This window comes from Homo sapiens, chromosome 17 (assembly GCF_000001405.40).
Source record: "Homo sapiens chromosome 17, GRCh38.p14 Primary Assembly".
In the NCBI taxonomy this organism is placed as follows: domain Eukaryota; kingdom Metazoa; phylum Chordata; class Mammalia; order Primates; family Hominidae; genus Homo; species Homo sapiens.
Window position 1 is genome coordinate 80,382,933 of NC_000017.11, and position 10,410 is coordinate 80,393,342.

General features: G+C 50.1%; 1 protein-coding gene and 1 long non-coding RNA gene across 7 annotated transcripts in view, besides 1 other annotated feature; one reads left to right on the plus strand and one right to left on the minus strand.

The window, feature by feature from the left end:
- RNF213 (ring finger protein 213) overlaps window positions 1-10,410 on the plus strand; it is a 137,943-nt gene that overhangs the window by 122,081 nt on the left and 5,452 nt on the right. For 5 of the 6 annotated variants that reach the window (NM_001256071.3, XM_047436482.1, NM_020914.5 and 2 more), the window contains 10 exons: window positions 47-138; window positions 745-996; window positions 2,107-2,239; window positions 2,606-2,689; window positions 3,318-3,498; window positions 3,758-3,959; window positions 5,680-5,757; window positions 6,241-6,435; window positions 6,896-6,985; window positions 7,080-7,264. In NM_001256071.3, the coding sequence (NP_001243000.2) occupies window positions 47-138; window positions 745-996; window positions 2,107-2,239; window positions 2,606-2,689; window positions 3,318-3,498; window positions 3,758-3,959; window positions 5,680-5,757; window positions 6,241-6,435; window positions 6,896-6,985; window positions 7,080-7,264 (1,492 nt within the window). Of the gene's footprint in view, window positions 1-46; window positions 139-744; window positions 997-2,106; window positions 2,240-2,605; window positions 2,690-3,317; window positions 3,499-3,757; window positions 3,960-5,679; window positions 5,758-6,240; window positions 6,436-6,895; window positions 6,986-7,079; window positions 7,265-10,410 lie in introns of those variants that run through there. The other variant, XM_011525084.3, reaches the window with a different exon arrangement.
- RNF213-AS1 (RNF213 antisense RNA 1) overlaps window positions 1-10,410 on the minus strand; it is a 63,339-nt gene that overhangs the window by 31,103 nt on the left and 21,826 nt on the right. The window lies entirely within an intron of this gene.
- Window positions 2,378-3,577: an enhancer, noted in NCBI's record as "CDK7 strongly-dependent group 2 enhancer chr17:78359110-78360309 (GRCh37/hg19 assembly coordinates)". NCBI's record gives its function as "activates an origin of replication core promoter dependent on BRD2, BRD4, P300/CBP, MED14 and CDK7 cofactors, with strong dependence on CDK7, by STARR-seq in HCT116 cells {active_cell/tissue: HCT116}" and the evidence as "EXISTENCE:reporter gene assay evidence [ECO:0000049][PMID:35650434]".

Below are 10,410 nucleotides of genomic sequence, written 5' to 3' on the forward strand. Positions count from 1 at the left end.
GTTCTTTGTGCCTTGGGTAACCTACACATTTGGAGTTTTTTTGTAGGGCTTTTAAATTTTGACACAGAATTGTCAACTAAAGAAATGAGGAACAACTGGGAAAAGGAAATCGCAGCTGTGATTTCTCCTGAACTGGAGGTAAGCAGTAAGTGCTGACAGCTGGGTTGCTCCTCGGTCCAGAAAGGAAGGGTCCCGGCGTCTGCTGAATGCTCCTTGCCTGTTGCCCCTCGTAGCGGTGCCAGCAAGAGCCTTTGACTGAGCCCCAGATTCCAATGCTCCCCACCTCGAGTCACTCCATCCTCCTCCTGTCCCCAAGTGCTCTTCCCTCCTACAGCTGGTCATGAAGTCAGTCCGAGGAATTCCTGGGAATCCAGCAAGTGCAGGCAGTGTTTTTCTCTCCATTACTTTTTACAGCAGAATGTAATGTACGAGGTAGAGAAATAAACTATCACATATATACCCATTAAAAATGAACTGACAATCATAGATTAATTATTCATCTAGCAGCCAGAATGTTAGTAAGAGAAATATAGGTTTCTGAATCTCATTCTGTTTGGGGAGACATACATCTATAAACAAACAACACTGAAATTAGAAGATCAAAGGGAATACCTGATTACATGCTCAGAGCAGGGGACAAACGCCCTAATATGCAGACACCCACTGGTGGAGTTACTGGGTGTTACAATCTGTTTGTAGCAATACCTCACTTCCAGAATTTTTTTTTTCATTTTCTCCATCCAGCATCTAGATAAAACCCTTCCCACCATGAATAATCTCATCAGCCAAGATAAGCGTATCAGCTCTAACCCTGTGGCCAAAATAATATATGGTGACCCAGTGACCTTCCTGCCCCACCTGCCCCGGAAAAGTGTGGTCCATTGCTCTAAGATTTGGAGCTGCAGGAAAAGAATTACAGTTGAGTACCTCCAGCACATTGTGGAACAGAAAAATGGCAAAGAAAGAGTGCCCATCCTCTGGCATTTCCTGCAGAAGGTATGTCTGGCTTACTGTGGCTCCCTCCCTCTTTCGGTGCAGAGTTCCCCAGCAGGCCTGAAGGCCCTGGGCTTTTACGTAGTATAATCATTCTTAACAGACTATTCCAGTGCTTTGGTTTTGAATAGGATGTAGCAGAAGACTCAGGGCTAGAGATCTTCATACATATCAAACTGTATGATTGCCAGAAGCGTAAAGTCACAGACGAAATACACACCCACGTTGGGATTAGCAGTGACCTGTGGGGAAGCTGGAGGCCAGGAGAGGACCTCCCCTCATCACTCAGCCAGACAGAAAAGGATGCAGCTCTTTCCCAGCCGCTCTGTTCCTCTCTGTCCACAATGCTGGAGCATGGGCAGATCAAACAAAACTCCTCCCTGTGCCTAAGCATCGAGGCGTACGTGGAAGACGGGAGTGAGTGGGTGTGTGCCGGCGGTGCTGGGGTACTGGGGAGCAGTCAAGTGTACTGGCCACATCTGTTGGAATTGGAAATATACTTTCCTAACTTTCACCCATTTGCACTTTCATTTTCTACAACACATTGTCTAAACATTTCTCTCCATGGACTATTATTTGCTGTCTAGCAAGGATGAAGACGAGTTGGAAACTTCTGTTGGTCAGTTGAGGAGTATGAGTTCACAATGACAGGAAGGACTTCCTGTCAATACTGTGGCCTCTCTCTCAGATGCAGTTTCACTACGTCGAAGATGCTTAGATCCTAGGTCTTCGGAAGGACACCCAGGAATAAGGCCAGCCCTCGCTGCCTAAGCTCTGGGTCTCTTCTTTCAGCAGCTTCTCTCCGTACCCAGCCAGTTACATGGGCCCAAGGGACAGATTTCCTTCATCAGCCTTTGATGGACGCGGCTGATGCGTCAGCTCCATAGAGGCTGGGCTCCCTCTTCGCCGCCCTCCATTTCTAGCACACTGCACTGTCTGTAGACTTGTGGGAAGAACTTTTCCCGTTTTCAAGCTCCACGCTGCATCACAGGAAATGACACTGACCAGATTAAGCTACAAATACAAGTCTCGCAGCCAGTCTCAAAGTCTGTAACCCCAATAACATTTTTTAGGTAAATAAAAATTGTTACTGGGTGGTCTTCCCTTCTCCAGGAAGCAGAGCTGAGGCTGGTAAAGTTCCTGCCTGAGATTTTGGCCTTGCAAAGGGATCTAGTGAAGCAGTTCCAGAACGTCCAGCAAGTTGAATACAGCTCCATCAGAGGCTTCCTCAGCAAGCACAGCTCAGGTGTGGCTCTGCTCTGACAGGACCAGGACTGTCCCGCATTTGGCGGTTCGAAAGGATCACTGCATAGGGGAACAGGGTGGGGCGGAGGGGAGGAGGCGCTGATGGGTGCTCTATAGCCTAAGCCCTTACCATGCGGTGAAGGGTGCTTGAACCCCAAAAACATATTAGAAGCTTTCGCCACAGCTGAAAAGCACCTCCCTCTCTAGCTCCTCAAACTCGGCTCACTCCTTCAAACAGCACCTCAGACATGCTTGTGACTGCACAAAGCAGGAAAGATGGGCTCTCGGCAGAGCATGTAACTAGGGTGGTTTGGCCCTTTCAGGGGGTTGCTATCATACGGTTCTTACCAAGTATTCTGTTCAACAGATGGGTTGAGGCAGCTGCTTCACAACAGGATCACAGTCTTTCTGTCCACATGGAACAAACTGAGGAGATCGCTTGAGACGAACGGTTAGTATCCTGTCCCCTGTACCACTAAGCGTTCCAGGAGAGCCTCGTCTGAAAGCTCTTCTCGTCAGCCTGACTCGGCCCATCCCTGTCAACACCCAGCACTGTGTTTGTTTGTTTTTGAGATGGAGTCTTGCTCTGTCGCCAGGCTGGAGTGCAGTGGCACCATCTCGGCTCACTGCAACCTCTGCCTCCCGGATTCAAGCAATTCTCCTGCCTCAGCCCCTAGTAGAGACAGGGTTTCACCATGTTGCCCAGGCTGGTCTCAAACTCCCAAGCTCAGGCAATCCACCCGCCTCGGCCTCCCAAAGTGCTAGGATTACAAGCGGGAGCCACTGCGCCCAGCCAGCACTGTTAACGCTTAACTTGTGTCTCTTTTGATGGTGGTGTCTGGATAAGTAAAATAATGTGTCAGGAAAATAAACCCTCAGTACTCTTCAGTCCCTAAATATGGCATCAAAAGGGAGCTGAAAGCATTTGAAACTCTATCAGCATATGAGATGGGGCAGAACCGAGACCCGGCTCCCGGCTGTGTGTGGAGCTGATGGCTTCTGCATCCCTCCTCCCCACGCCTAGATTCTGTGAGGAGTTGGAACTCCTCTCTGCTTAAGCATAACCCTGTCGTTTAAAGGTGAGATCAACCTACCCAAAGACTACTGCAGCACTGACTTGGATCTGGACACTGAGTTTGAGATCCTCTTGCCACGCCGACGGGGCCTGGGCCTCTGTGCTACCGCTCTCGTCAGCTACTTGATTCGCCTACACAATGAAATTGTCTACGCCGTGGAAAAACTCTCCAAGGAAAACAACAGGTTTGTGCACGAGCCACCAGGAAGTGGTGCCTGCTCAGCCCAGAGTCCCTAAGCCCAGTGGGGCAGACACAAGCAAGCTTCAGCCCCTTCCCTAACAGACACTCACTCCTTCAGCCGCCCCCACCAGTGACCCGCCCCATACTTGGGTAGGGTTTTCCACTGCTCCAACTGTGAGAAATGGGAGCCTGCTCCCTGCAACATAGAGCCCTAGGCCCGCATGCCTGGCCTGGACGCTGAGCGCTGTCTTTCTGCCCCTCAGCTATTCCGTGGATGCCGCCGAGGTCACTGAACTGCATGTCATCAGTTATGAAGTGGAGCGGGACCTGACTCCACTGATTCTCTCCAACTGCCAGTACCAGGTGGAGGAGGGCAGAGAGACCGTGCAGGAGTTCGATCTGGAGAAGATTCAGCGGCAGATCGTCAGCCGCTTCCTCCAGGGCAAGCCCCGGCTGAGCCTCAAGGTAGGGCTGACTCCTGCCACTGCTGCTCATTTGGTGTGTCTGTTGTGAACAAGCAGCCCTTGGTGTGTTTCTCGAGAGAGGGAAGCAGCACCTCACCCTGCAGTCTGGTCTGTATCTCCTCCCTCACACCTGCAGCTCCCGAGGCCACCACGCCACCTGTATCTCCGGGCCGCAGGGCTCTCCTGAGCCCTCTCCTGCAGGGCCATCTGCACCTCAGTCCCCCAAGGAACTGTTGAGGTCTTTTTTTGAAACAGGGTCTCACTCTGTCACCGAGGCTGCAGGGCAGTGGTGCCAAGCCTCCACCTCTGGGCTCAAGCGATCCTCTCACATCAGCTTCCCAAATAGCTGAGATCACAAGTGTGCACCACCATGCCCAGCTAATTTGTGTATTTTTTGGTAGAGATGGGGCTTCACCACGTTGCCCGGCTGGTCTCGAACTCTTGGGATCAAGGGATCCACCCGCCTAGGCCTCCCAAAGTGCTGGGATTATAGGCGTGAGCCACTGCACCCAGCTGATTGTTGAGGTCTTGATTCTACCAGTTAATGGCACCACCACCCCCACAGCCCCTCTTCCTTCAGCCTCCATGGGTAACCTGCCAGCAGATGCCATTAGCTGTGCCTTCTGTGTGTCCTCACCTGACTGCCAAAGCCCACCCTGTAGTTAAAAGCATCCTGTACGTTGGACTGCTAGCCACTCCTAACTGGTGCCCACCTCCAGGTTCTTCAGTCCACGGCCTAAAACCCACATCTGGCTCTCTTCATCCTGTGCCGGATGGACCTGCCTGGCCTCTCATGGCATATGGGATAAAGCCGACACTCTGTTGTCTGGTATGGGAGGCCCTGTAGCTCGGCCCAGCCCAACCTTCCAGCCCTGCCTCCAGCCACTTAGCCCATTTCCCTGAACTGCATCCCGTGACCTCATGCACTGAAGCCACACAGCAGGCACTTTCCCATCTCTGTTCTTTGACTGGACGCACTTGTTCCTTCCAGCTGCAGTCATATCTACTGTACTTATGTACGGTACCACCCGCAACTGGGCCAGGAACTGTGAGAGCCCATGGATTTTTTTTTTTTTTTTTTTTTTTTGAGACGGAGTCTCGCTCTGTCACCCAGGCTGGATTGCAGTGGCGCAATCTCAGCTTGCTGCAAGCTCCACCTCCCGGGTTCACTCATGCCATTCTCCTGCCGCAGCCTCCCGAGTAGCTGGGACTACAGGCGCCCGCCACCATGCCCGGCTAATTTTTTTGTATTTTTAGTAGAGACGGGGTTTCACCATGTTAGCCAGGATGGTCTCGATCTCTTGACTTCGTGATCTGCCCGTCTCTGCCTCCCAAAGGCTGTTTTTAATTCATTCTCACAGCCATTTCCTCTGGCAGAGTGACTGCCTGTGCATGGTCTGTGCCTTTAGTGGCTGAATGAATAAATGAATGGGATATGCACAAATACCTGTTGCCCTAGCGCCTCCTGTGGCGAAGCAGGCCACGATGATGTGACAATATCTTGTCATGTAATTGGCTGTGAGGACTCCGCTGGATTCCCGGTTGTGTTACTATTTCCATAGATGGTGGGTTAATGACGGAGAGGGGCGCTCTTAGCCAAGGGATACACAGGGCAGCGCGGCACTACGCTGCAGTTTTCCGGCTGCAGATTCTGTTTGTCATCTGCTGGAAATGTCCACGATGGATTTAATTTTAAAAAACTTTTTTCTTTCCCAATTTAGGGAATACCCACTCTGGTGTACAGACACGACTGGAACTATGAACATCTCTTTATGGACATCAAGAACAAAATGGCACAGGTGATCCCGATAAACCTGATCCTGTGCACGGGGCTTTCTGCCTTCTCAGTGTGTTTCCCTCCGTGTTAGGCCTACTCCAGCCTTGCCCCGGGTGTTTGCTGTGAGCCCACAGTTTCTGCGGCCTCCCTTACAGAGAGCAAGCAAGACAGCAAATCAGCAAGTTTTCTTGTAGAGTAAAAGCAGATTGACATCTTGTGGGTTTGATTCTTAGGAATGATGTTGATGCATGGCCATGCCTGCTGAAGCGGGAAGTCCATGGAACCGATTTGTTCCTGCTCTCCGCATGCGGGTACTGATAGGTAGACCTGTGTGTCTCCATGGCCTCCAGGAACTGCCTGCACACCGTGCGCCCAAGTGTCAGCTGTTAGAGAGTTGGCCCCCCGCATGTGGCTTGGGCAGTGAAGGGGCTCGGCTCTCTTACCAGGTGGTGAGATGCCAGAAACCCAGCCCACAGACATCCCTCTCCTGCTTTTCATTTCCCAGGACTCCCTCCCCAGCTCGGTCATTAGTGCCATCAGTGGACAGCTGCAGTCCTACAGCGATGCCTGTGAAGTGCTGTCTGTCGTAGAAGTCACTCTGGGGTTTCTGAGCACAGCTGGTGGGGATCCAAACATGCAGCTGAATGTGTATACTCAAGACATCCTGCAAATGGGTGATCAGACGATTCACGTGTTAAAGGTGGGTCTCACACCGAAAAGGAAATCAGCACAGCCCCTCACCCTGGTCTCCTGCTTCCCGCGAGGGATAGGAGCATTCAGGGAGTGCCACTCTAGGCGCTCCTGAAAAGGATGGGGAGACAAGAACAACTGCTCACCCAGTCAGTCCAGCATAAACAGGACACACCAGGGACAGTAGAGACAGACACGCGCTAGAAATGCCAGCAGTCTAGATAGAGCCCAAATGTGACTGAGTACATGAGGCCCCTGCAAACAGCGTGATGTGAGCGGGCTGTGAGGTGCCGCAGGAGGGAACTGGTAGATAGGACAGAGATGGCCTTCACAAGGAGGGAGATCACATTAGTACAGGGCAGAACGAAGAGAAGAATGCCTGTGTGGAGAGCACTCAGGCTCCCTGGTGCACGACATGAGTGGGGGTGTGAGACCTCAGCCCCCACTCAGGAATTCTATTCCTTCTGCAGGCCTTAAACAGATGCCAGTTAAAACACACCATTGCCCTCTGGCAGTTCCTGTCTGCTCATAAGTCTGAACAGCTGCTGCGGCTGCACAAAGTAAGTCTGGTCTCTTCCTCTCTGCTGGACAGAGGGACTGCGCTCCCTTCTCCCTGCAGGCTTTAATGCTTCATTTGCTCTTCCGTCGTTTTAGGAGCCATTTGGGGAAATCAGTTCAAGGTACAAAGCGGATCTGAGCCCGGAAAATGCTAAGCTCCTCAGCACATTCCTAAATCAGACTGGCCTAGACGCCTTCCTGCTAGAGCTGCACGAAATGATAATCTTGAAACTAAAGAACCCCCAAACCCAAACCGAGGAGCGCTTCCGCCCTCAGTGGAGGTATGGATTTGCACACCTATGGGGCGGGGCAGACACAATGTTGTGCTGTCTCTCCTGTGATCTTCTATAGACACAAAAATAGTTCTTTTCTTACCACAGAATCCCATTTCCTGCTTTTTGTCATTACCAGGGCACCTGAGGACTGGCTTTTTGGTTTTAATCTCTACTGGGTTTTCTTTAAGCAATTACACAAGTGTTTTTCAGACAAGAGTCTTGCCCTGTTACCCAGGCTGGAGTGCAGTGGAGTAATCTCAACTCACTGCAACCTTGGCTCACTGCAACCTCTGCCTCCCAGGTTCAAGCGAGTCTCATGCCTCAGCTTCCCAAATAGCTGGGACTACAGGCGTGTACCACCATGCCTGGCTAATTTTTGTATTTTTAGTAGAGACAGAGTTTCACTGTGTTGGCCAGGCTGGTCTCGAACTCCTGGCCTGAAATGATCTGCCCGCTTTGGCCTCTCAAAGTGCTAGAATGAAAAGGCGTGAGCCACTACACCCAGCCTAAAAGTCATATATTCTAATTTTATAACAAGTAGACTATGTCAAAGAGAGGTACATTTTAAATTTGATAGAAAAAGCTATCCTAGGCCGGGTGTGGAGGCTTACCCTGTAATCCCAGCACTTTGGGAGGCCGAGGTGGGTGGATCACCTGAGGTCAGGAGTTCAAGACCAGCCTGGCCAACTGGTGAAACTCTGTTTCTACTAAAAATACAAAAATTAGCCAGGCATGGTGGTACACACCTGCAGTCCCACCTACTCAGGAGGCTGAGGCAGGAGAATTGCTTTAACCTGGGAGGTGGAGATTGCAGTGAGCTGAGATCGCACCACTGCACTCCAGCCTGGGCAACAGAGGGAGACTTCATCTCAAAAACAAACAAAAAAAAGAATAGAAAAAGCTATACCAATGTATAAAGAGTGTATGAGAATACTCAACATTGGATATTATCCATCTTTTACATAGTTGCCAATCTAAAGGCCAAAATGGTATCTCATTTTCAGTTGTATTTCCCCATTTACCGTGAGGCTGAACATGTTTTTTATATTTATCACCCATTTGTATATCATCCTCTGAATTGCCTTTATGTTTTATTTTTTGAGACCGTGTCTCACTCCCACCCAAGCTGGAGTGCAGTGGCGCAATCTTGGCTTAGTGCAACCGCTGCCTTCTGGGTTCAATCGATTCTCCTGCCTTAGCCTCCCTAGTAGCTGGGATTACAGGTGCCAACCATCACGCCCAGCTAATTTTTTCTATTTTAGTACAGAGACGGGGTTTCTCCACGTGGCCAGGCTGGTCTCGAGCTCCTGACCTCAAGTGATTCACAAGCTTTGGCCACCACACCCAGCCTAAATTACCTCTTCGTATCTTTTTCTTTTGCGCTTTGTCTCTGTAATGGTTGTGAGAGCTCTTTGCATAGAACAGGGGTTCATCTTCTCTGCCGTGTGCCACAGTGCTCTATTTCAGCCTTTAATTTTATGAAGTCAAATCTGACAGAATTTTCCTATAAAGGGTCTCTATACAAAAACACTTACTAGGATCTTCCTTATCCCAGGATTATAAACTAGCCTTTTTTTTTTTTTTTTTTTTTTTTTTTTGAGATGGAGTCTTGCTGTGTCATCCAGGCTAGAGTGCAATGGTGTCATCTTAGCTCACTGCAACCTCTGCCTCCTGGGTTCAAGCGATTCTCCTGCCTCAGCCTCCCGAGTAGCTGGGACTACAGGCATGCACCTGCCCGGCTAATTTTTTTGTACTTTTAGTAGAGACGGGTTTCACCATGTTGACCAGGCTGGTCTCGATCTCCTGACCTCAAGTGATCTGCCCGTCTCGGCCTCCCAAAGTGCTAGGATTACAGGCGTGAGCCACTGCGCCCGGCCTGTCCTCTCTCTTCTTGTGCTTTCACATACTTGTTTTATTCACCAGTTTATGTTTAGGTGTAAAGTAAGGATTTAACTTGATGTTTTCCTGACTAGATCATCAAACTCCAGTCTTCCTCACCAATATGTTTCCTATTTGCTATCTTCCTCCATTATGCTATGTGGCATATACCATATACATTTATGTTCTTTCAACTTTTTCAACAAGTCTTTACTAGCCTGTGCTTTTCATGTAGATAAAAAAGATCCCTTTCCTAGAGAATTTCCAGTCTTTGTTAATGTGAAACATGTAATAGAATACAAGGTTTTTTGAATGGTGAGGCCTTGTTTATGCAACCCTGTAAATAAACATCACCTTGCTAGAGGGCCTAAAGTCATGTGAAGGGGCCAGCACAGGGCTTGCTCCGTGGGCTTCTGTCGTGTTTGTGTACTGCATGTGGGAAGCAGCAGTCAGGCACCAGAGCCTTGAACCCAGGATGCTAGTCCCAGTTCAGGAGCTCAGGTCATTGACCTTAAACTGCTCCTCAGGATTTCTGGGTTTTTTTTTTTTCTCGCTCTGTCGCCCAGGCTGGAGTGCAGTGGTGCAATCTCGGCTCACTGCAAGCTCCACCTCCTGGGTTCAAGTGATTTTCCTGCCTCAGCCTCCCGAGTAGCTGGGATTACAGGCACCCACCGCCATGCCTGGCTAATTTTTGTATTTTTACTAGAGACAGGGTTTCTCCATGTTGGCTAGGCTGGTCTCGAACTCCTGACTTCAAGTGATCCACCTGCCTCAGCCTCCCAAAGTGCTAGGATTATAGGCGTGAGCCACTGCGCCTGGCCTAGGATTTTAAGTCTTAACGAGCATTTTGGTTCTGCTGATGACAACGGGAAAAAGTAACATGAGGGGACTGATTGGTCCCCTTATGTTATATGGGAGCCTTTTTTTTTGAGACAGGATCTCACTGTGGCCCAGGCTGGAGTGCAGTTGTGCAATCTCAGCTCGCTGTAGCCTCCACCTCCTGGACTCAAGTGGTCCTCCCACCTCAGCCTCCTGAGTAGCTTCGGACTATAGGCATACACCACCACGTGCCCAGCTAATTTTTGTATTTTTGCTAGAGACAGGGTTTCGCCATGTTGCCCAGGCTGGTCTTGAACTCCTGACCTCCACTGACCCACCCACCTCAGCCTCCCACAGTGCTGGGCTTACACACGTGAGCCACACAGTGCTGGGCTTACACACGTGAGCCACCATGCTGAGGAGACTGTTTTAAATGCTCTCTTCTTTGGTTTTTC